At 36.1% G+C, this 26236-nt stretch overlaps 3 protein-coding genes across 5 annotated transcripts in view, besides 3 other annotated features; 2 read left to right on the top strand and 1 right to left on the bottom strand.

The window, feature by feature from the left end:
* Nucleotides 1–26236, bottom strand: part of NF1 (neurofibromin 1) — a 282699-nt gene that overhangs the window by 52663 nt on the left and 203800 nt on the right. The gene's annotated exons all lie outside the window — the stretch shown is intronic.
* EVI2A (ecotropic viral integration site 2A) lies at nucleotides 3391–8603 on the top strand. Of its 2 annotated transcripts, NM_001003927.3 has the most exons (3): nucleotides 3391–3518; nucleotides 4500–4640; nucleotides 5990–8603. In NM_001003927.3, the coding sequence occupies exons 2-3, from the start codon at nucleotides 4582–4584 to the stop codon at nucleotides 6708–6710; spliced, it is 780 nt and encodes a 259-aa protein (NP_001003927.1). In that variant the 5' UTR covers nucleotides 3391–3518; nucleotides 4500–4581; the 3' UTR covers nucleotides 6711–8603. The 2 variants fall into 2 exon arrangements, with proteins under 2 accessions (NP_001003927.1, NP_055025.2); NM_014210.4 differs by lacking the exon at nucleotides 4500–4640.
* Nucleotides 6243–6302: an enhancer, noted in NCBI's record as "active region_12010". NCBI's record gives its function as "activates an Ori minimal core promoter by ATAC-STARR-seq in GM12878 lymphoblastoid cells {active_cell/tissue: GM12878}" and the evidence as "EXISTENCE:reporter gene assay evidence [ECO:0000049][PMID:35858748]".
* Nucleotides 6513–6562: an enhancer, noted in NCBI's record as "active region_12009". NCBI's record gives its function as "activates an Ori minimal core promoter by ATAC-STARR-seq in GM12878 lymphoblastoid cells {active_cell/tissue: GM12878}" and the evidence as "EXISTENCE:reporter gene assay evidence [ECO:0000049][PMID:35858748]".
* On the top strand, nucleotides 10959–21243 carry EVI2B (ecotropic viral integration site 2B). Its single transcript, NM_006495.4, has 2 exons — nucleotides 10959–11034; nucleotides 19383–21243. Exon 2 carries the CDS (start codon nucleotides 19404–19406, stop codon nucleotides 20748–20750), a length of 1347 nt encoding a protein of 448 aa, NP_006486.3. The 5' UTR covers nucleotides 10959–11034; nucleotides 19383–19403; the 3' UTR covers nucleotides 20751–21243.
* Nucleotides 13732–13811: an enhancer, noted in NCBI's record as "active region_12008". NCBI's record gives its function as "activates an Ori minimal core promoter by ATAC-STARR-seq in GM12878 lymphoblastoid cells {active_cell/tissue: GM12878}" and the evidence as "EXISTENCE:reporter gene assay evidence [ECO:0000049][PMID:35858748]".

The following is a 26236-nucleotide window of genomic DNA, read 5'->3' as shown; positions in this document are numbered from 1 at the left end:
GTAATGGTACCAAAGTTTCAAATCAAAACAATCTATGTTAACTTAGGCCCAAAGTTTTCCATATGTGATGATTCTGGTGATAATACTACTAAGTAAGTTAAAATAAATCTTTACCTCAGAGGTTGGTTAATGGATATAAAAATATAATCAGGGCTGGGCACAGTGGCTCACGCCTGTATTCCCAGCACTCTGGGAGGCTGAGGCAGGTGGGTTACATAAGGCCAGGAGTTCGAGACCAGCCTGGCCAACATGGCAAAACGCTGTCTCTACTAAAAATACAAAAATCAGCCAGGCATGGTGGTACATGTCTGTAATCCCAGCTACTTGGGAGGCTGAGGCACGAGAATCACTTGGACCTGGGAGGCAGAGGCTGCAGCGAGCTGAGATTGTACCACTGCACTTCAGCCTGGGCAACAGTGAGACTGTCTTAAAAAAATAATAATAAAATAAATAATATATGTATTGTTAGAATTAGATAGAAGGAACAAGTTCTACTATTCATAGTAAGGTGACTAGTTAATAATAACATTGTATATTTCAAAACAGCTAGACGAAACAATTTCTTTTCTTTGAGGCAATGGATATCCTAATCACCCTGATTTAATCATTACACATTATATGCATGTATCAAAATATCACACATACAGGCAGGGCATGGTGGCTCACGCCTGCAATCCCAGCACTTTGGGAGGCCAAGACGGGCAGATCACCTGAGGTCAGGAGGTCAAGACTAGCCTGGCCAACAGGGTGAAACCCTGTCTCTACTAAAAATACAAAAATTAGCTGGGCGTGGTGGCACGTGCCTGTAGCCCCAGCTACTTGGGAGGCTGAGGCAGGAGAATTGCTTGAACCTGGGAGGGGAGTTTGCAGTGAGCTGAGATTGTGCCACTGCACTCCAGCCTGGGCGATAGAGCGAGATTCCAACAAAAACAAAAACAAAAAAAACCAAAAAAATCACACATACTCCATTAATATGTACAAATTATCATGTATCAATAAAAAACTTCACCTCAGAATTTTTAATCTTGTTGGGAGAAAATAAGATAAAAATATGACAAGTCAAATGATTTTAAAACAACACAAATATTTCAAGATAGAAGATATGAGGTAGAAAGTAATCACTTATCAAAGGAAATGCAGAGAAAATACTGTTATTAAGACAAAGGAGAGAGAGAGAGAGATTAACACAAACTGGGCAGTCAGTGAAAGCTACATAGAAGATACAGTGGCTGAATCAGGTAAGGAGGAATGCAGACTCAGCAAGAGGACTGGGCAGGCCTTATGGAGAAAGGCAAAAAGGAAAAGAAACAGGTAACTAGATGTGTTGAAGAGACAGCTAGTCTAGCCAGAATGGAGGATTCAGGTAGAGAAGTTTTGAGAGATAAAGCTGGGAAAATACAGAATAGTCAAATTGTGGAGAGACCATAACTGCCCAACCAAAGGGCTTAGGTTTTCTACTAGGGGCTCACCATTTCTCAGCATATGTTCTGTGGACTACTGGCGTCAGAATCAACTGTGGTGCTTGATAAAAATGCAGTTTCCTGGTCCCAACCTGGACCTACTAAATATGGATCTATGTAGTGGGGCCTGGAAATTTTTATCTTTTTTTTTTTTCCCTTAACTCAGGCTGGACTGCAGTGGCACGGTCACAGCTCACTGTAGCCTTGACCTCCCCAGGCTCAGGTGATCCTCCCACCTCAGCCTCCTGAGTAGCTGGGACTACAGATAAGCGCCACCATGCCCGGCTAGTTTTTTGTTTTTGTTTTTTTGTATTTTTTGTAGAGACAGGATTTTGCCATGCTGCCCAGGCTGGTCTCGAATTTCTGTGGCTCAAGTAATCCTCCCGCCTCAGCCTCCCAAAGTGCTGAGATTACAGGTGTGAGCCACCATGTCCTGCTTTTATAATTTTTAAACAATCTTCTCATCTGATGTTTATGTACACAAACATTTCTGAATCATTGTTGTATGTATTAGGGAACTGTTCAACCGGTTTTATTTTCCCTTAAAGAAAGGGTGGTATGACCAAAGACAGTGATGTATACAAGATATAAGAAGGATTCAGGGCTACCGAAAAGGCACTGTAGAGTCTAGGTATGACCTGATAAGGATCTAAAATAGTACTGTTGACAGTAAAAACAGGGAAAAAGAAACTGATCCAACAATATGAAGGAAGGACCAACATGATTCAAAGTCTGATCAGGACTGAGAGGACTTAAATTAAAATGATGTGTTGTATACTAAGCCTCTGATATTAGAATGTTGCTATCATGAACAGAAACAAGAAGACTGTCACAGGCAGCCTCCTTTAAAGAAAAAATAAAGTTCTTTTTATTTCATTAATTTAATTAATTTTTAAGAGATGGAGTCTTGCTATGTTACCCAGGCTGGATTTGAACTCCTGGGCTCCACCAGTGATCCTCCTACCTCAACCTACCTAGTAGCTGGGATTACAGATATGTGCTGCCATATCCAGTTCTTTTTTTTTTTTTTTTTTTTTTTTTTTTTTTTTTTGAGACAGAGTCTTACTCTGTCTTCCTGGCTGGAGTGCAGTGGCATGATCTTAGCTCATGCAGCCAAGATCTCATGATCTCTGCAGCCTCCACGTCCCGGGTTCAAGCTATTCTCCTGTCTCAGCCTCCCAAGTAGGTGGGACTACAGGTGCATGCTACCCTGCCTGGTTAATTTTTATATTTTTAGTAGAGACAGGTTTTCTCTATGTTGGCCAGGCTGGTCTTGAACTCCTGGCCTCAAGTGATCTGCCTGCGTCAACCCTCCCAACGTGCTGGGATTACAGGTGTGAGCCACCGTGTTCAGCCCATACCTAGTTCTTAAAGTCTGTTTCAGTCATGTTAAACTTGAGGTGATGACAGGATGTTTGACAGTTGTGTGTGTGTGTGTGTGTGTGTGTGTGTGTGTGTATACACACACTACACCACACGAAAGCATTTTCTGTCCCATATAATCTAAGTTTACTAGATATTTTCTCAAATAATTGCTGCAGTTCCACAATTGTTACATTATCTGATCAGTATCCCATGGACTCCAAACTCACATTTTCAAATCAGTCTGTAGATTTCAAATAAGTCTTTTAGAGAAGATTTGAAATGGAAGATACCATTTCAAAACCTCTTTTGAATGACACTAAAGCATGTAGCAGGCCTATAGAATGAGCATACTGTCAAAAGGCATTAAGTGGAAAACCCTCCCTGCTCTGGAGGCGGGGATTGGTTCTACAAAGCCTCCTGTCATGCCAGTGGCCAACTAGAGAAGTTGGAGCTTTTTCGTTGTTTTTTTTTTTTTCCCTCCTGTGACATGTGCTTTAGTTGCAGTGGAAAGGAAATGTGTCATCTGTGGTTTGGTTTTAAAAGTGGAAAACTAGCTGCACATATCCTTTTTTACTGCAGATTTACTTTAAGGCTCATATTCTCCAAGTCTATTCTGCTTTAAAAAGAAGACAAGAAAAGAAGTGGTTTATCAAAATCACGTTATAATCAGATTTTGACCAAGCATTTTGTAAGGTAGGTCATATATATACGGCTTTTCTTATGCCTTTTCACTTCTAACGTCTGACAGATTAGTGTTCGAGGAAATGCTATCAAAGTGTGTAAGAATCTCACTAACAAACTAGAATTGTGACTGAAAATGTATACTTTTTTTTTCTGTCCTGTTACATAAATTTTAAGTTAGAAATGAAAAAATTTGCCATCGCCATGGAGTTTTAAATTAGGATTACGAAGGATCTAAGTTTGGTTTCCTCAAGTAAACTGGAAATGTTTTGTTATTTTTCAAAAGTTAAAAAATAAATTTCTCATTACTAATGCTTGGACATTACAAATTCTACTGAAAATAAATTCTACTGAAAATGATCAGATATAAGAAAACTTCTGATAACACAACCTGGCCTCCAAGGCATAAACTGGAGTAAAAACAGTCCTCAATTCTCAGGCATTTGTAAGGGCAAGAGAAAGTCTCATTTTGTCATACAGTTTGTTTATTTGGGCACTGCAGTACATCTGGCTGAAGACAATCAACAGCAGGCCTATTATCTGTTCCGTGGTAAGCACTGTTAAAATGTGTACCAATACTATGATGTATACTACACTGTTAATGAACTAATGTGAAAAGAATAATCTACTTTAAATCATTCTAGCATCTAATACAGAAGTCCAGTCTAGTATAAAAAGATGGAAATTACTTGCTAATCCAATTTCAAGTATTTCTTTTTGTGGAAGAATCATGAAATATCCAAAGATTTATGTCACTAAACTTAAAAATTAAAGCTGAACACTATTATACAAAAGCCAGTGACTTGGGCCTTTAATTGTCTACTAAAGGTCATAATCTAAAAAGTAATCTTAATCCTGGAATATTTAATAGTTTTTCCTCCCTACTATTAATATGAAATATAGTCTCCAGTTAGCATTGTTTATTACATGCTACTTTTGTTTGCATAACTCAACGTATCACATTTCTTATTTTCAATTTCTGTATTTTAATAGTATACAAATGTCAGCCAATGACATATAACAACCATTTCTTATAAAACCTTGATGTTCAAAAGCCTGACTAGCAGTGGCATCCATGTTGCTTAGGAGTTGGTTTGGAAACAAAGACTTTCAGGCCCTACCTATACTAGCTAGGTAAGAATCTGCCTTTTTTTTTTTTTTTTAAATAAAAGGACTCCTAAGTACATTTGAGAAGAATTTCTATAGCATACGTAGGGTTCTTAACCAGGCAATTTCATTTAGTAAATCTCAGGAGAACAATATAGTTTTGCTTTTAGTTCATTCAAATAAATGCTAACAATAAAATACTCCTTTCAAAAGTAGCTCAAGACAAACTGGTATATTATTATAAGATACCTTAATAATGATTATAAATCTTTCCTGCTGGGTTAGCAGTACATGGAACTGTTAAATTCTAAGATATGCCATTTCTATTTAAATCAATCATTTGGTAGATTTAAAAAATGTATAATATAACTTGTCTCCTTTTTGTACTAGTTTCCAGCAAGCTCAGGGCCAAAGCGGAAATTCAACATTTTCAATTATCTGTTGAGATGCTTATAACCTGCCACTTCATCCCAAATCATCAAGATCCTGATGCTCTATTTCTATTTTATTACACATTTTTTTTTACAATTATGTCAAAATCAGAAAAAATGCTAGGTATAAATGATGCTTTAAAAGAAAACCCAGCAACTTTTGTTGAACTTTTAAGTCTACTCAGAGGAAATTTGCTGTTTTTTTTTTTTTTTCTTCAGATTTTTAGGTTGAGAAAACTGGTATGCCTTTGCCTTCAGAAAGACACAGTCAGTCCAGGGAAATATAAATGAAAAGAGACAACCACCACAGTAAAATTGCGTTCACAAATACACTTACAAATGTATTTCTAAGTACCAGCTTTATTCTAAGCTTCAAGATGAACACCCAAGAAAAAAAAAGAACACCTTGAATTTCTATTTGAAGTTCAGTTTCTTTTGGTTGCTACCAAACTTCCCCTCTTTCCACCAAAAAAATTTGCATTTATTTCATACATGAAGCAAGAAGCTCAAGGCCACATTTCTTCTGTAAAGATTGGTGACAGGTTAGAGGGTGGGTAGTTTCTGTAAGAATGATCCTTAATTTTTTTTTTTTTTTAAAGAAGGAATCAGAAAAGTAAAAGCAGAACTAACTGACTCAAAGCAGAAGTCTAGCACGCTTCAAAGGAAGAAAACTATATAAAGCCATGATAGTCCACTTAAAATGATTAATATTTATTTGTAATGCTAACTTCTAGCATCTAAAAGTGTTAATAGAAATTAAAATGCTTCTTCATACATAGCTGAATAGAAAAGAAATTTAGTTGAGAAGGAATTCAGGGTAGCGAATATTAGGCATAAGCTTGTAGTTTACTTGTAACATCTCAACACTATCTTTTAACTACAATTACCAAAACTAGGATCCATTATTCTTTCACAAACTAACAAATTATATTGCTATCCCAACAGATTGCCAAGCATGCCCACGGACATGGAACACACAGGACATTACCTACATCTTGCCTTTCTGATGACAACAGTTTTTTCTTTGTCTCCTGGAACAAAAGCAAACTATACCCGTCTGTGGGCTAACAGTACTTCTTCCTGGGATTCAGTTATTCAAAACAAGACAGGCAGAAACCAAAATGAAAACATTAACACAAACCCTATAACTCCTGAAGTAGATTATAAAGGTAATTCTACAAACATGCCTGAAACATCTCACATCGTAGCTTTAACTTCTAAATCTGAACAGGAGCTTTATATACCTTCTGTCGTCAGCAACAGTCCTTCAACAGTACAGAGCATTGAAAACACAAGCAAAAGTCATGGTGAAATTTTCAAAAAGGATGTCTGTGCGGAAAACAACAACAACATGGCTATGCTAATTTGCTTAATTATAATTGCAGTGCTTTTTCTTATCTGTACCTTTCTATTTCTATCAACTGTGGTTTTGGCAAACAAAGTCTCTTCTCTCAGACGATCAAAACAAGTAGGCAAGCGTCAGCCTAGAAGCAATGGCGATTTTCTGGCAAGCGGTCTATGGCCCGCTGAATCAGACACTTGGAAAAGAACAAAACAGCTCACAGGACCCAACCTAGTGATGCAATCTACTGGAGTGCTCACAGCTACAAGGGAAAGAAAAGATGAAGAAGGAACTGAAAAACTTACTAACAAACAGATAGGTTAGTGAAGAAAAATGCAAAGTAGCAATGAGAAGGCTTATGGAGTAAAAATGAAGTCAGTTGGTATTTAATCCCAAAGTGTTGTTCTGATTATCTAAAATTTGACATGGTAGACCTTGCAATTTAGAATCAAGCAGGTGAGACAGGGAGAAGTATGCCTGCTTAATTATTTAAACTGTGTACTTTTGTTTTGACACTGAATATTTTAAAAAGCAAATAATAAAATAACTAAGCATTTGAGGAAAATTTTAAGGATAAATTGAGGAAACTGATTAATAGAGATAGCAAGGGATAATTAAATAAATATTCCCTATGTAGCAACAGTGGTTAGATGATCTTTGTCTGAATGTAATTAAACTTTGAATAGTTTTAGTGTGTCCTTAAAGCCAAGTATATGCTTTAACATCAAATGGAAGTCAAATTCCTAATGCATAGATAGAGAGAGCTAAACTGTGTAATTTAATGGTATCTTCCTTGCTGGATGTGGCAGAATCCACACCAGCTTATCAACCAACACAGCTAATTTTAGAATAGATCCTTTATCTTTCCATATGGCACACGTAAGAAAGTGTTTTTCTACTATTAATATTAAATTAAAACCTTTACTTTTGTATAATAAATTAAAACTCAGAATAAACCTGTGACCACGTATATTTGCATTCACTTTATTACTTTAGAGAACACATTGTAAAGATCAATAAGAAATAGAGCACAACTAAAATAAATAAGATTTATAGCCACACCAATAGGCTAAGTGTAAACGCAAAGTATGTTTCACTGTTTATGATTAATAATATTCATCTTTTCTATAAATACTACTTACTGGAACATTAACAACAAGTACCAAAGGTTGATTAATTTTTGGACTTCAAGGATGCCAAGTAGCCTAATGATTTATTAGGGGTGTGTGTGTGTGTGTGTGTGTGTGTGTGTGTGTGTTCAAATCTGGAAAACTGCATACTTCAGGTTATAATTTAACCTTTAAAGAAACTGGCTTCAAGTAAAATAATGACTTACATTTAAGTTGAGAACCCCCCCATCTTCAATTAAATATATTACAAAAATTGGTTTGAGAGACTTTCCAAATATCTACTGAAATTAACACAGGGCTAAGATCAGGCCACATTTCAAAAATCTCATCCCTTACTGGGCATTTATTTCGGGCAATATAGTAACCATTTTAAAAATATTTTTTATATGTTTTTTCCCAAGTATGACTACAATCTTACTCTCCCTTCTAAGCTAGTGATTCTTACCCTGGCTGCATGTCAGAATCACCTGAAGAGTTTTTAAAAAACACCAATGCCTAATTCCCATGTCTTCCTTCTGATGCAACTGGAATGGGGTGAACTCTAAGCATTGGTAATTTTTACGTAACTCTCAAGGTGATAACTGCTCTTGGTCATCAAATTCAAACGTCTAGCTATTATTAAAATGAGAGGAAAAAAATAAAGCATCATTTTTATTATCAATTTATTAGCAATTTGTAAAAAACAAATCTATTCTCTAAACGAGAAATCATAACAATATTATTCCAGATAAAGTTAAGTGTTAACAAAGTAAAAAGGAAAGCATGAGAATATTCATGCCAGTCATGGTGACTGAAATCAGGTTATCTTTTGAGGGGAAAAATAACCCAGATTAGAAATGAAACTGGGCAGACTTCCCATTCTGTGCAAAAATTGAAAATTTGAGATTGTGCACCAGTACATCCAGGAGTAACACAAAGCACTCCTTGAATCAAGGGTCATAAATAAACACGTGTCAGAGAAAATTAAAAGAAATTAATATCATCATAAAAATAGGAAATTACTTTCATATTCAACATACTGGTCAAACATTTTCTCACCAGAGAGCTTCTACCACAAGGATATTTAAAAGAATATTTAAAATTCACCACTCACTATCTTGGCTATTAAACATATACTCTCAGAATGGTACTATCCAATGATAGTTACTGAACAAACAGAAGTGTTTCCTTTCCAAATGACAGGTATTTTAAAATGGTAGGTAAGATATCTTTGAGTTCAAAATTTAAAAGTCATTTAGTTTTGAACAAAAACACATTCCCTACCCCTGGGTATTACAGTTCACCAGCTTAATTCAGGGATTTAAAAATAGTGAATCAGGTTAGGCACAGTGGCTTACACCTATAATCCTGGGAGGATCACCTGAGGCCAGGAGTTTGAGGCCAGCCTGCACAACAAAGTAAGAGCCTCATCTTTACAATAAATAAATAAGCCAGCCAGCGAGCATAGTAGCATGTGCCTGTAGTCCTAGCTACTCGAGAGGCTGAGGCAGGAGGATTGCTTGAGGTCAGGAGTTCAAGACCAGCCTGCGCAACACAGCAATACCCTGTCCGTAAAAACAACAATACTTCCAAAAACCAGTGAATCAAAAGCTTTATAGCATTTGATTATATTATGCTTTATAGTAGGAGCCCATAAAAAAAAACTATTCTTTTTGCACCAAGCTATAAGTACCCTGAAGTTAAGAACAAGGTCATAATAACCTGTGTTTCCCGCAGTGACCAGGAAAAAGCAGTGCATGGGTTAACACATTCCGTACCTACTATAATATGCATCATCCAAGGCACTTTACATTTATTTAATTCCACAATAAGCTTATAAATTAGGAATTATGATCTCCATTTTTCAAGAGAGGAAAGGTGACTTACTCAAAGAAATTTTTATTCAGATGGACTCACTCCTTTCAATACACTTTGTTTAGTTAACTTAAAAATTTTTTGTATTTTAAATTTTTGTGGGTACATAGTAGGTGTATATATTTAAAGGGTAATGAGATGTTTTGATACAGTCACGCAACGTGAAATAATCACATCATGGAGAATGGGGTATCCATCCCTTCAAGCACTTATCCTTTGTGTTACAAAGGATCCAATTACACTTTTAGTTATTTTAAAATGTATAATTATGGTATTAATGACAGTCACTCTGTTGTGCTATCAAATAGGTCTTATTCATTCTTTCTATTGTTTTTTGTACCTATTAACTGGTAACACCATCTCCCCAACCCCTCATTACCCTTTAGTAACAAGTTAACTTTAGTTAACTTCTTATTTAAAAAATGATCCCCAATTTATTTTATTTTCCACTGAGAAGTAACTACTTTGTGGGTAATCAAATAAATAGTTGAGAACTTGAACTCAAAAGTCACTAGTAAAATATTTGGTCAAAATAATTTAATTACAAATATACAAATGGCAAACAGGCATACGAAAGGGTACTCAGCACCACTGATGAGAGAAATGCAAATCAAAACTACAATGATACCTCATCTCACCCCAGTTAAAATGGCTTATACTCAAAAGACAGGCAATAACAAGTGCTGGGAAGGGTGTGGAGAAAATGGAACTCTCGTACGCTGTTAGTGGGAATGTAAATCAGTAAAACCACTATGGAGAACAGTTTGGTGGTTCCTCAAAAAACTAAAAATAGAGCTATCATATGATCCAGCAATCCCACTGCTAGGTATATACCCAACAGAAAGGAAAACTGTACAAAGAGACATCTGCACTCCCACTTTTGTTGTAACACTATTCACAACAGCCAAGATTTGGAAGCAACCTAAGTGTCTATAAACAGATGAATGGATAAAGAAAATATGGTACATATACACAATGGAGTATTATTCAGCCATAAAAAAGAATGAGATCCTGTCATTTGCAAAATAATGTAATTATACTTTTACCCTGGACTTTTTATATTATGAGGAAATAACATTACATTTATTGGTTACCTGCAGTTGGTGAGGCATTTATACATGTTATATTATGCTATCTTATTTAATCCTCACAATAACCCAATAAAATATTCCTTTAGAGGAGGAAACGGTGACTCAGAAGTGCAGAGTCTTGCCTAAGGTCATACAAGTAAACAGAACACATCACTCACTTCTTATGAGAAGAAATCTCACTGTAAGTGATAACCCAACTGGCAGCTTTTCTTCTTAGAACATGTAATTTTCTCTTCGGGACTCCATCCTAAATATTTAATTTACATAATCATATTACTAGAGTATCTCAAATATTTATTTACATAATTAAAAGCACTCAAATCATAGGGCTCCAAAATGTATTTCAAAATAAGTTCTGTTAAAGTAATATATTTCTTAGTCACTTTGTGGTTTATTGCACTTCCGGAACCAGCTATTGATAAACTTCCTCTTTTTCTACAGAAACTATTTCAGTTTGCTAGAGGAACATTTTAAATCTGAATTGAACCACCCATTTTCCTTTCTTAGCCAAATCACCAAAATGTCCAGTTAGAACAAGAATTTAGCATTCTGCAAAAGAAGTTAACAGCTGAGGTAAGAAAATTTTCACACAATTTGGTTTGATCTTGCTTTATATAAAATTTATTTTAAAAACTGTCATTAGTGTTTTAAACTTAAACTCTGATAGTCTAAAGATGTCTATAACAGGTTTTTGTGGTTTTGTTGCATAGAATTAAAAAATACTCAGTTCAGCTTGCCTTAGAAAAATATTTTCACCTAGGTTTGTATAAGACCTTTTAAGTTTATTTAATCTCACACACACACACACACACACACACACACACACACATATTTTTTTTTTTTTTTGAGATAGAGTCTTGCTCTGTCTCCCAGGCTGGAGTGCAGTGGCACGATCTCAGCTCACTGCAACCTCCACCTCCTGGGTTCAAGCAATTCTCCTGCTTCAGCCTCTCAAGTAGCTCGGATTACAGGCGCCCACCACCACGCCTGGCTAATTTTTTTGTATTTTTAGTAGAGATGGGGTTTCACTATGTTGCCCAGGCTGGTCTCCTACTCCTGACCTTGGGTGATCCGCTTACCTCCGCCTCCCAAAGTGCTGGGATTACAGGAGTGAGCCACCGCTCCCAGCCACAATCATATTTGTTAACCTTAGTTTTAGAATTAAAAAGAAACTATAGCCATGGCAGATAAAGCTAAGGGTTAGAAATAGAACTAGATTCCACAGGCTATGACTGAATTTATAACCTCCAAAATATTAATTGTTAAAAGTTCTAATGTACTTTTTATAGAATTTTCCTGTACATAATATAATGCATAAATTAAAATTTTTGTATCCCCTTTAGTTTGCATAGTAAGAATGGTCACTTTCACTTAATTTAGAAAGAAAAAGAAATCAGATGTGGTATTTGACTATTATTATTATACATGCTTTATTTTTTACATATAGATTTTATATTTAATAATGATGACATGAAAACATTATGGCTCATTTTAAAAGCTTACTAAGCCAAAAATGTTAGTCAATAATCAAACATGCATGCGTATATTAATATCATCTACGTGTTTATGTCACATTATCTGAGACTTTAGAACATAGTATAAGATAGAAGAAACCTATAGAATAAACAATAGAAAATTGTTAATATGCATAAAAGATGCTTGCTGTGGGTAAAATGGGCAAATAAAAACTGCAAAGAGTATTTTACATAGACTTGTAATTTCAGGGAATAATATGTTCATAGTGGGTGATATCCCATTTCAACACTTAATAAATATTCATGACTTTCTCTTAGAAGGATTTCTTCTAAGTAATTACTGTGGAAGTCAGAAAATAAAGATATTTATCTCTTTTTCAGATTAGGCTTGTCTATATATTTTTCTACTTCTAATATTTAGTTTATTTCATTATGCATAAAGTCATAAAATTATATTAAATTTTTTTCACTGTCATATTTCATAAAATTAAAAAATTTCCCATCGATCCTTATGGTGTGTTTTTGTCATAGAATCCCATACTTTTTTTTTTTTTTTTTGAGATGGAGTCTCCCTCTGTCACCCAGGCTGGTGTGCAGCGGCACCATCTTGGCTCACAGGCTCACTGCAACCTCCGCCTCCCAGGGTCAAGAGATTCTTCTGCCTCAGCCTCCTGAGTAGCTGGGATTACAGGCACCCACCACCACGCCTGGCTAATTTTTTGTATTTTTAGTAGAAACGGGGTTTCACCATGTTGGTCAGGCTGGTCTTCAACTCCTGACCTCAAGTGATTGGCCCACCTCGGCCTCCCAAAGTGCTGGGATTACAGGCAGGAACCACTGCGCCTGGTCCCATACATGTTTTTAAAGGGTTAGTCCCAAATCTAAAGTTTACTAGTAGTGCCTGTGTTTTCCAGCTAATTCCCACATAATTCTACTTAGAAGGAAACTTTAATTCTGATTAAGTTTGAATTGAGAAACATAAATCTGATGCCTTTCAATGTCCAAGCTTTAAAAAAAAAATCACCACAAAATTTTCAGTAAACTTACTAAATATGACACTTTATAGAAACCATTCCAAATTCTTATAATAGTTTTCGTAGAATCAGGACTAAAATGGGTTTTCAGGTATTTCTTTCCTACCCTTTATCTAAGACTACCTACAAGTGTTATTTACGTGTAATTCCCACCAACTCACATCTCCTTCCTTCATAAAGCATTTCTATTTCATAACTTTTCTATGAAAGGCAGTATAGCACATACAGTGAAATGTGATAGAAAGAAACGGTTCTGGCACAAGATTAGCATGATTTTTGTATTAGTGCCACTACTTAGAGCTGTGATACTGCCAAGTTACCCAACATCGTGGTGTCTCAGTTTCCTTATCTGTAGGATGAAAAAACCACCACCTAGCTAATTAAAATAGGATACTGCTTAGCCTTTGGTGGGTGCTCAGTAAATGGTCACTATCATGATACAAGATGGTCATCAAATACTTCCTATTGTAGTTGAAGGTCAATTTCTCTTTCCACTTTTCCTCAAGATGCAGAATGGCTGGTTTTTTCTTTTACGGTTTCAAAACTTCACTAGTTAGAGATAATACTACTGCTAAATTTTAATCTATTATATTTGCATCACAACTTTTATTATATCAAAGTAATTGATACAGCTATCTATACTTGTCTTTTGTCTAGGATATGCTCTCCAAATCTTGATTCTCTTTAAAAGATAATGGCATACTTCCTAACATATCCAACTTAACAGCATCAATTTTAAATGCTGGACCCTTTAAGTACTTATGCATTATATTTATAAGAACATGTCTATGGCCGGGCTCGGTGGCTCATGCCTATAATTCCAGCACTTTGGGAGGCCAAGGTGGGTGGGTCACTTGAGTCCAGGAGTTCAAGGCAAGTCTGGGTGACATGGTGAAACCCCATGTCTACAAAAAATACAAAAATTAGTTGGGCGTGGTGTAGTGCACCTGCAGTTTCTAACTTCTTTAGGGAAGCTGAGGTGTGAGGAGGATCGCTTGAGCCCAGGAGGCAGAGGCTGCAGTGAGCTGAGATTGCACCACTGCACTGCAACCCGGGTGACAGAGTGAGACCCTGTCTCCAAACGGAAAAAAAAAAAAAAAAAGAACATGTCTTATACACGGGGACTCCTGCTTCACTGTAACTGTCTTTAAAATGTTTAAATTTATGTTTTTCTTTTTAAAATATTCTAAATATTCAGCAAAGAAAAAGAACCAAAATCACAGATTTAAACCTCAAAGTGCCAGCCTATAATAATGAGTAAAAACCGGCATATGAGGGCTGACAAATTTGCTTGAGCAGCAGACTAAGGGATTTCTGGAAAACTCTATATAAAACGTACACGGGTACATGGGTTCTTTGGAATAATTGCTAGGTATGCTTCTGGATAGTGTCAGGGAAAAAAAAAGGGAGAGGATGGTAAGGATACTCACAGCAGACAGGAGAGCCTGAAATGAAAGGTAAATGAATTTGAAAGGATGGTTCCTTCTGGTCCTCCATTTTAGAAAGCAAGCTCCTCTTTACTGTCTCCCTGCACTCACAAACACAGGCCAGCCACAACAGAGCAGCATTTTGCCGTTGCTTCTTTCATCTACTTCAATCATCTCCCCCCACCCCCAACTTCATTTTGCCTACTTCAATCATCTACACTGCCTTCTTGCTAATTATATAACCACTGCTTTTTTTTTCACCTGTTTATTAACTTTTCTTCTTTTCTGTATCTTCTCTAGTCAATTGACCTTCCTCTTTTCTGTTCGCTGCTTCCTAGAGTTTTTGTTTTTTCTCTTTTGTGTTATTTTGTATTTCTTTGCATTGCCTTTTATATTATTCTAAATCTCCTTTTTATTCCCCTGCCCAATATTGTTCTTTACCTACAGAAACAATGTTGGTACTTCAGGTACACACCACTTACATATTTTAAAATGTGTATGCTAAATAACCTTCCACACTGGTAGTAACGCTGGCCTCATTACCGCTGGGAAAAAAGTCAGTTTTTTCCACTACCATATTCCCTATTTATTCCTCTTTTAAATCTTTCTTCTCCTTCTCTGGACTACACTGAATTGCCATCATAGAATTCTAATACAGTTTCTAGTACTCTGATGTGGCAGATCCTAGGAGGATAAAAAGCTAACTGAAGAGTGGTAGAAAGTGTTAGGATAGGCAAAAAATGGAATTTGGTTTTAATATTGCCATAACCGTTAACTGACAAGTGAAAATCTCATACATGGAGGGTTCCACCAGCTTACTACTGACAGTAGAGGATAGGAGCCTATCAAAATTGATCTTACAAACTAACCTGGGTTTAAAATTATGTTCCTGTTTGGGCCCTGTCCTTCTCTAATGCCTTTTTCAGCTAACTGAAAAGAGGAACCGTATGGTTTCCTTATTTTAAGCAAAGTCACAAAAGAGGAAACATTTTTGGCTAAAGACAATTCATGGCTTATATTTTCTGATGCTTTGCATAGCATTAAAACAGATTTTTAAAATGAAGTTCTGAAGAGAATAACATTTTCTAAAGAAGTCCCCCCGCCTTTTTTTGTAATCTATAAGAATAATGGGTAGGAACTGCATGGATGATGACCATCCAGAGATTATTCAAATCCCTATATCTATGCCAAAAGTGTTCAAATTTTCCCTTTTAAATCTTTTGCAAAATGGATAAAAAGCAGAATTTATTAACTCAGATTTCACTGCCTCTGCTTATTTTCTGGTAGAAGTACTAGTAAAAAGCAAAAACTAAAATGGAAAGGAATCAAGAAGCCCAATACAGGTTAAATGTTTACTGTGCTCCTAATATATAAGGCATTAACTACAAAGAAATCAAAATATAAAAACATGAGGCAATAAAGGGTAGCAGAAAGAATGTATGCTTTGGAATCAGGTGGCCCTGGGTACAAACTCCCAATCTGTCACTTCGAGTGGTATAACATCAGGCAAACTGCTTAACTCATTTGACACTGTCTCTTTATCTGTAAATAAGGGATCCCTTTACCTTCCTTATAAAGTCATTTGAAGGTTCTGTGAAATAAAGTATGCAAAACTGGGATAGTACAACACATAATATGCTCTAGATAAGTATTTTTCTTTCTCCTTTCTGCCTTCTTCAAGGTTCTTTATAATCTTGTTCAAGGAAGTAGGTATAGGAAAATGTGAAAAGTAAACACAATTACTTAAGAGAATAGAAGTGTGAGTGAGATACATACATGAATTATGTAAGGAACCATAAAAACAATAAATGAGAGCTAGGGGGAATTCAGTAAATGACTGATCTGTTTGGGCTGTAGTCAGTCACAGAGAACTTGGGTTAAGAAGGGGAATTTAAACTGAGGTCTGAAAGATGAGGACAGATTCAGATATGCAGCCAGAAAGGGGAAGAGGCTAGGTCTGGAAGAAAAATAAAAAAAAAAGAACACCCTTGAGAAGGGTAAAAAACAGCATAGAAGTGTCTGTTTAGCAGGGAAAAATCGTGTGTTTAGAAAGTATGCAAGGTGGGAAAGGGATGCATTTGGCTGGATAAGAAGTTTCAGTCATGATACGTGAATCTGGACTGGTTAACTCAAGCCAGAAGGAAGAAAACTCAATTTAGAAGTTTTATCTTAACAGGCCAGGCGTGGTGGCTCATGCCTGTAATCCCAGCATTTTGGGAGGCTGAGGCGGACAGATCACTTGAGGTCAGGAGTTCGAGACCGGTCTGGACAACATGGTGAAACCCTGTCTCTACTAAAAATACAAAAATTAGCCAGGTGTGGTAGTGTATGCCTACTGTAGTCCCAGCTACTCGGGAGGATGAGGCACAAGAATCGCTTGAACCCAGGATGTAGAGGTTGCAGCGAGACAAGATCATGCCACTGCACTCCAGCCTGGGTGACAGAACGACTCTGTCTCCAAAAAAAAAAAGAAAAAGGAAGTTTTATCTTAACAGAAATTAAACCCTCAAGCAAGGCAGTAGTAACCTGATCATGCACACTTTTAAGATTAATTCAGCAGTGTGCAGGAGAGTTCAAAGGAGAACTGTTTTAAAATTCAGGCTTGAATTATTCGTATAGGGAAAAAAATCACATATCTTTTCTTCTACTAAAACAGGGCCATTTATCATCACTGTGTACCAAGTGGTAGAGGAGTAAGCAATGATATGCTGTTTAGATATGCTGAAAAGGTAATTTGTAAAACCTTTATTGCACCTTCCAACAGAACATCAAATCTCTCTAAATATAGGCTTATGAGTCAGAAGAACTATAGTTTCTAATCATGTATACCAATATCTAACACCCTAAGATTTTCTATTCCCTAATGTTAAGAGATAACCAAATAGTTGCCATTGTGTTTGATGATGTGCAAAACAAGTATATTATACCAAAAGTTGCAAATTGTCTCAGTAGAACTCTTCACTTTAGAGGAAAGGCAATTGAGAACAGGAAAGGTTAAGCAACTAGTTCTCATGGTTAGACAGGTAGTTAGATGGGAGAAGTAGAACTGAAACTTAACTCTCCAAGTTTTAGCATCTACCACATCCCAGAAAAAGCCCTATCTGCCAAACTTTCATATGTGCCTTATTTTCCTGTGCCCACATTGTTGCTCTCCCTGGCTGGAAACTTAATTAGTTTTTATAGACTTTTAAAATTCAGTTCAAGCTTTACTTCACTGAAGCCTTTCCAGGCTAGGTTAACTTCTCTGTACATCTCCTGCATACTTTTATGAGAAAGCTTATCAAATTATTGTAATTGGGCCAGGCGTGGTGGCTCACACCTGTAATCCCAGCACTTTGGGAGGCCAAGGCAGGCAGATCACCTGAGGTCAGTTCTCGAGCAGCCTGGCCAACACGGTGAAACCCCGTCTGTGCTAAAAATACAAAAATAGGCCAGGCGTGGTGATGTGTACCTGTAATCCCAGCTACTTGGAGGCTGAGAGAGGAGAATCAGTTGAACCTGGGAAGCGGAATTTGCAGTGAGCCCAGATTGTGCCACTACACTCCAGCCTGGGTGACAGAGTAAGACTGTCTTGAAAAAAAAAAAATTATTGTAATTATTTTTTAGCTTTTTTTCTTTCTTCTTTTTATTTAGAGATGGGATCTTACTATGTGGTCCATGCTGTTCTTGAACTCCTGGCCTCAAACGATCCTCCCATCTTGGCTTCCCAAAGTGCTGGGATTACAGGAATGAGCCACTACGCCTGGCCTTTACTGTTTGCTTCTATCACTAGAATCTGAAACACTTAAAGGCAGTGACTATCTTTTTTTTTTTTTTTTAATCTCCTAAACCTAGAACAGAGCTCCACACAAATGTGGCATTTACCAATAGATGAATGAAAGCAGCAGCAGGACTACTTGACCAACTGGATTGAATTTACTCCACCAGATTCAGAGATCACTCTAGGATTTTAAGCCTAAGACTCTGAGTTGAATGAAATTCTTTAAAAATATGCAATATTAACATAAGGCTACCACGCTACAGAGACACTAAGGATGCTTCAAAGATTACTAATAGACTCTGTGCCTAAGAAACTTAGTGGTACCATTAACAGATACAGAGAAGTTGGGAGAAGAGTCAGTTGTCAGTTGTGAGGGTAAAGATGAACTCCATTTTAAATATGTTGAATTTGCTGATAGTGGGAGATATTTATATCTATATCTATGTCTATCTATCTATATATATAAAATATGGAAAAATCCACCAAGAAGTCACACAAATAGAATTAGGACAAAGAAGATGTAGGCTGGAGGTACAGGTTTAGGAATTGTGGCATAAAGCTGAGAACTAAAATCTTACAGAATCAGGAACAAAGAAAAGTAGGTAAGGGTGAGGACAGAATATCAATTAACCATATTTAGGAGGCAGAAGAAAAAGAGCTAGTGAGAGTAACATGAAAGGAAGACTGATTACAAAAAGCTACTTGAATATTAGTGAAGGAACAGTAGTGTCTAATGTGGTCAAGGAGGGGAGGGGAGAGAAGAAATAAAGAACAATTAGATTAGGTAACAGATGATCACTGGTGTTCTTCAAGGCAGGAGAATCAATATATTTCTAGTAGAAAATGGTGAAAAAAGGTAGAGAACACATGGATCCAGCATATAGAGCCTATGCGTTTTGAGAAGTATGACTAAGTGAAGTACTGAAATATAATGAAGCTAGAGGGGCAGCAGAGCCAAGTACAGAACTTGTATTAATAAAAGAAGAGAGATCACTGCTTATGAGGTCCAAATGCTGTATGATGGGTTAGAGTATATCCAAGAGTTGTTACACCAAACCTACAGTGTATCAAGTCTAAATTAGGAATAATAACTACTAATCAACTACTACTAATTAGGAATAATGTCTACCTACTTTATGCCAGGAATCATAATGAAAAGTCAAATTTTTAACTAGACACCAATGACGCCTAACTGTCTTTCTCTTTCATTATAAACCCGCTATAGATAACGAGGAAATATTCTGAAATGGATCCCAAATATTTCATCTTAATTTTGTTTTGTGGACACCTGAACAATACATTTTTTTCAAAGACAGAGACAATTACAACAGAGAAGCAGTCACAGCCTACCTTATTCACATCATCAATGTCACAGGTATTGGCTAATTCTCAAAACACAACAGGGAATCCTTTGGGTCAACCAACACAATTCAGCGACACTTTTTCTGGACAATCAATATCACCTGCCAAAGTCACTGCTGGACAACCAACACCAGCTGTCTATACCTCTTCTGAAAAACCAGAAGCACATACTTCTGCTGGACAACCACTTGCCTACAACACCAAACAACCAACACCAATAGCCAACACCTCCTCCCAGCAAGCCGTGTTCACCTCTGCCAGACAACTACCATCTGCCCGTACTTCTACCACACAACCACCAAAGTCATTTGTCTATACTTTTACTCAACAATCATCATCTGTCCAGATCCCTTCTAGAAAACAAATAACTGTTCATAATCCATCCACACAACCAACATCAACTGTCAAAAATTCACCTAGGAGTACACCAGGATTTATCTTAGATACTACCAGTAACAAACAAACCCCACAAAAAAACAATTATAATTCAATAGCTGCCATACTAATTGGTGTACTTCTGACTTCTATGTTGGTAGCTATAATCATCATTGTACTTTGGAAATGCTTAAGGAAACCAGTTTTAAATGATCAAAATTGGGCAGGTAGATCTCCATTTGCTGATGGAGAAACCCCTGACATTTGTATGGATAACATCAGAGAAAATGAAATATCCACAAAACGTACATCAATCATTTCACTTACACCCTGGAAACCAAGCAAAAGCACACTTTTAGCAGATGACTTAGAAATTAAGTTGTTTGAATCAAGTGAAAACATTGAAGACTCCAACAACCCCAAAACAGAGAAAATAAAAGATCAAGTAAATGGTACATCAGAAGATAGTGCTGATGGTTCAACAGTTGGAACTGCTGTTTCTTCTTCAGATGATGCAGATCTGCCTCCACCACCTCCCCTTCTGGATTTGGAAGGACAGGAAAGTAACCAATCTGACAAACCCACAATGACAATTGTATCTCCTCTTCCAAATGATTCTACTAGTCTCCCTCCATCTCTGGACTGTCTCAATCAAGACTGTGGAGATCATAAATCTGAGATAATACAATCATTTCCACCGCTTGACTCACTTAACTTGCCCCTGCCACCAGTAGATTTTATGAAAAACCAAGAAGATTCCAACCTTGAGATCCAGTGTCAGGAGTTCTCTATTCCTCCCAACTCTGATCAAGATCTTAATGAATCCCTGCCACCTCCACCTGCAGAACTGTTATAAATATTACAACTTGCTTTTTAGCTGATCTTCCATCCTCAAATGACTCTTTTTTCTTTATATGTTAACATATATAAAATGGCAACTGATAGTCAATTTTGATTTTTATTCAGGAACTATCTGAAATCTGCTCAGAGCCTATGTGCATAGATGAAACTTTTTTTTAAAAAAAGTTATTTAACAGTAATCTATTTACTAATTATAGTACCTATCTTTAAAGTATAGTACATTTTACATATGTAAATGGTATGTTTCAATAATTTAAGAACTCTGAAACAATCTACATATACTTATTACCCAGTACAGTTTTTTTTCCCCTGAAAAGCTGTGTATAAAATTATGGTGAATAAACTTTTATGTTTCCATTTCAAAGACCAGGGTGGAGAGGAATAAGAGACTAAGTATATGCTTCAAGTTTTAAATTAATACCTCAAGTATTAAATAAATATTCCAAGTTTGTGGGAATGGGAGATTAAAATGCATGTTTGAGAATAGAGAAATTTTCTTCTTGGTTTCATTGCAAAGAGTAAAACAAACATGTTAAAACATCAACTGAAGGGTTGGGTTAGGAACATTTACCCTGAAAAAAATATGAGGATGCATCATAAAATGTAAATATTTTCCTACCATGTTGGGGGGGCACAAATTTTAAAACTGGCATCTTTACAAGTTTCTTCTTTATAAACACCCAAACAAAATCAAGTTTTATAAAGCAAAAAAAAGGAAAAGAAGACTATGGCTTCATTCTAAATACGGGTGACTTTGGGTGATTTTTTTTTCAGGAAAAGAGACTATCAAAACACAGATGATTCTCAACTTTTTACTAAACTTATACTTTCTGATGCTATCCACTCTTAAGTCACCTTTCTTACACAGAATTTCATCTTTATCCATTATCTGACAATTGGTAAGTCTGAGTTATTAGAGTAGGAATGGGCCCAATCTTTGTCAAAGTCAAGAGTGGTCATCAGCCTATACTTTTGGGGATGCCAGCCTTTGTCTGCAGAAGTGCTCCTTTGCCCAACAAGCACATATTCTTCCTCATTAGTCCCATCTAACTCCAGGGGGAAACAAGCACTTAGAATAAAATGGTAGCCCAGTCTTGGAGAACCACTCATAGTTCTGGGATTTTCAGAGTAGAACATAGCATTTATTCATAGCACTGGCATTCATGACATTAACAAAGCTCCATATTTAATAAGAACCAGTAGGGTTTTGGACACAGGAATTTTACATACAATGTTTTTCCTAAAATCTTTCAAGCCATCTTTACTGACCATTAATTTTTTAATCTATAGAAACACTTCCTTGAGCTTCTTACTTTTCCTGAATAAGCATGATACTTATTGTCATATTACATCTTTTGTCTTCCTCATTAAAAATTTTCTTTCATGTATTCTTCAAAGTTAGTACTTTTGTTCGAGACAGAGTCTCACTCTGTCGCCCACGCTGGAGTGCAGTGGCATGATCTTGGCTCACTGCAACCTCCGCCTCCCACGTTAAAGGGGTTCTCCTGCCTCAGCCTACTGAGTAGCTGGGACTACAGGCGTGCACCACCACGCCTGGCTAATTTTGGTATTTTTTTTTTAGTAGAGATGGGGTTTCACCATATTGGCCAGGCTGGTCTTGAACTCCTGACCTCATGATCCACCTGCCTCGGCCTCTCAAAGTGCTGGGATTACAGCCGTGAGCCACCGTGCCCGGCCCAAACTTAGTACTTTTAAAGCTAATTTCCCCAGCAGCAATCTGGAGTTGAGAATTTCCTATTATTCTTTTTAATTTTACGAATTTTTGTTATGGTAAATAAGATATGTTTTTATACTTGGCCAAGTCTTTGACATGCCTTAAATCATCATAACTGTTCTCATTTTACATTTGTGACAGTTACTTAATGGGCTCGTTCCACATTTTTGCCCCTTTTTACCACCTTCTTTCCTGAAAGAAATACAGGGAAAAATAGGGAAATACCAATTTTCTTAGATTAAACGGGAGCTGATTAGCTGACCACAGTGTTGTCTGATATCTTTAAGTACTTTTAAAGGGAGGTTTTCTCTTTCTGTTCTTTGTATAACAGGACAGACTACTGGCAGCAGCCGGGTTTTTATGTTGTCTTTTTTCCTTTTATTTTTTTTAAAGAAATTCTTTGCTGGGGGAAGAATAATTCACATTTAACTGCATGTAATTTTCCCCAGTGAGGTCAGTGGAAGCTGAGCAGCCAAACAGTGGCAATCCTTGCTTAATCAGCAGGAAGAGATACAAACTAATAAATGCAGGACAGAAGAAAATGCTGGAACAAAGAAAAATCTTTTAGAGAAAAGATTAAAGAACTAAGATCCAGAAGAGAAAGTTTATTTCATGAATACTGCAAAAGAATAAGGCACAGGGGAATAAAAGGTAGATTAAAGTTCACACCACATACTAGTGGTGCTCTTAACCAAAATAGCATTAACCAGAGTCAGACACAACCCTGAAGACCATTTGGTTCAACTCCTTTTGTTTGTTAACTACTGAGAAAACAGGACCAGAGAAAGTAAGTGATGTGCTTAGAAGTGGTATTAAAAGCTGAGTTTGCTCCCTGACTATTGGTTCAACACTCTTTTCACTAATATAGGACCAAAGAGCACCTACATCATGCACTGAAACATACATATATCACATAAGTCTTCTATTTGGTGTCAGTGGTGAGGGACACAAATGAATTAGATGAGGGTGATCTTTAACTGTTGTTCTTACTGAATTCTGATCAAAAAGTAAAGTAGCACCTTTGGGAACCTATAACTAAAACACTGTGGTACCGGTATATGACTAAACAAACAGATCAATGGAACAGAAGAAAAAGTCCAGAAATAAATATCAAATCAGTGGAAACAAGCATTGGAACAATTGGATAGACATCTGGAAAAAAGAAAAAATTTGATCCATACTTCACACTATATTGGAACACCAAGGACCAGAGTTCTAAATATAAACCATGAAATTATACAAGTAATAGAAGAAAATATGAGTAAATTCCTTTATAATCTGGAAGCGGGAAAAAACCTTCCTAGCTGAGACTCAAAATCCAGAGGCAATAAAAAGGGAAATCAAATTATATGAAACTTTTAAATATCACACACATGCAAGTGCGCATTACACACAGACACACACACCTCACCATAATAAAGCCAAAAGACAAATGGCAAACTGGAAAAAAAAATTAAAACTTAAATCAAGACAAAGTGCTAATACCTCTAAAATTTAAAATGCTCCTAATATGGGGCAGGAAGGGGAAGACCCAAAACACAACTTTTAATAGTGCAAAACATTAAAAAGACAGTTACAGGAGAAAACATTTAAATGGTCTTTAAACATATGTAAAGACATATACTCCCCCTCATAATTACAGAGATGCATTTAAAATTAGATGGAGATACTTGCCTATCAGATGGACAATAAATCCCAAAGTTCAACAACAAAGTATACAGTGAGGCTGTATAGAACTCGACACCATGATACACTGTTGGTGGGACTGCAAAATGGTATAATCAATGGAGAGGAATTTAGTAATGTCTGGAAAAATTCCAAATGCATTTACCCTTTTACCCAGCAATCCTACTTCTAGGAATCTTTTTCAAAGATTTACTGGCAAACATATAAAATTATTTAGGTACAAGGGTATTCACTGTGGCATTATTCGTAACAGCAAAAGTCTGAAAAACCCAGATGTCCACCAATAGGGGACTGGTTGAATAAGCCATGGTACATTCCCAAATGGAGTACTATGGATCAAACAGTGAATCATACAGATACCTATATACTGATATGGAGTGATACTCAAGATACAGTAAGAAAAGAAGAACAAGTTATCTAACAGTATGTATATATGTCACCTTTTATATTAGAAGGGGGGATAAGAACATACCATACATATGCTTACATTTTTTTTAGGTTTTCAAAAAGAAATGTTAATGATACAACGAAAAACTAATAAAAACAGTTACTAATAGCAGAAGGAAGGAAATAGGATGGAAAAGACAGAGAAGCAAGATTTATCTGAATATACATTGTTATATATATAATTTTGACTTGTGATCCTGAAAAGCTGAAAACTGAAACAAAGTTTATATCAAGTTGGTGATATAAAAATACACAGAAAAGAATTATTTCACATTGCATTAGAACACAGAATTTACTATACACTTTTAGTAAAATAAAGCAAGCAGAGCTACAAACAAATTTTAAACTTTATTCGGTAGTCTATAATCTAATTGTAGCAATCAATACTGGTATTATTTTGAAATTATTGTGAGATGATGCAAATGAGCAATTATGTCAATGATATGAGGAATCACTTATAGAAAATATGGGGGACAGAAGAACAAATTAAATCTTCCCAAAGAGTCAAAGAGAAAACTCCAAGATGAGAGACATTTTAGGAAATAATTGACTGAGTTTTGGCAACAAGCCAGTGGCATAAAGAAAAAAAGGAGTAGGGAGGTGGGCAAAGAAACTGATTCATTTGGATTTTGACTTGGTAATTTCTATGTTGTTATTTCTTTCATGCTTTTAAAGTACTTTATTGAGTACTCTCAGTTGTATTCAGCAGGAAAATCAGTCTAAATAGCCAACCATATTACCAAAAATAAACAATATCTGACTCTCAAGCATAGCAAATGTTACCTATAATAATGGAAAACTGAAACCACTGATTAGCGTGGGATAGCTATTCCTTGGCAGATGCTTTGTGATACCTTTCACAATGTTGGGGTAATATATCCTAGGACACAAAAGAATACGTAAATTAATTTACTGCTTAATCTAGAATGTAAAAGTTGCCTAACTATCATTACTGACCTAGACAGCCTAATAGAAAATGTAATGAGTCTGAATAATATTTAAAATAAGTTGTAACACATACTTATGCCTCTAAAAAATATTTTTTTTGAGTAACAGTAATACAGTATTATTTTATTTCATGAGAATTTCTTTTATTTATTTATTTATTTTTATTATACTTTAAGTTTTAGGGTACATGTGCACAACGTGCAGGTTAGTTACATATGTATACATGTGCCATGCTGGTGTGCTGCACCCAGTGTAAGAGATTGTTAGAATTCAAATATATTGAAATGATCTCCCTTTTTCTTTTTGAGAATTTTACAATAATCTTTGAATAATATGAAGCAATTTGGTATGTCCCAAACTTGAAATGAGAAACATTGCCACTACTATTGCACTGGAATTTTCTATTATATACAACAGAAACTAAACTTGATACAGCCTAAACCCAAATTCATTTGAATCCATTAATGAAGTAACATGTCTTTTCTTTCAAACAAAAGTACTGTTAAGTGTAATGAAAATGCATAACTCTACTTCTACACTGACTTAATGAGGTTTCCTAAAATTAAGAGATTTAAGTGGTCGGTAAATTGACCCTCAGTCACATCTTTAGAAGTGCAGCAGTGTATATATGAGCTTAAATAGAACTCTAAATGTCAATGCATTCC

The sequence above is a fragment of the Homo sapiens genome, chromosome 17 (assembly GCF_000001405.40).
Source record: "Homo sapiens chromosome 17, GRCh38.p14 Primary Assembly".
Lineage (NCBI taxonomy): Eukaryota > Metazoa > Chordata > Mammalia > Primates > Hominidae > Homo > Homo sapiens.
This window is presented reverse-complemented; position numbering and strand designations above follow the sequence as displayed.

Bases quoted from the DNA above. Each gene is read 5' to 3' on its own strand.
- EVI2B (NM_006495.4), top strand. From the start codon at position 19,404: ATGGATCCCAAATATTTCATCTTAATTTTGTTTTGTGGACACCTGAAC.
- EVI2A (NM_001003927.3), top strand. From the start codon at position 4,582: ATGTTGCTTAGGAGTTGGTTTGGAAACAAAGACTTTCAGGCCCTACCT. The intron at 4,641-5,989 runs GTAAGAATCTGC...CTATCCCAACAG, and splicing joins GCCCTACCTATACTAGCTAG to ATTGCCAAGCATGCCCACGG.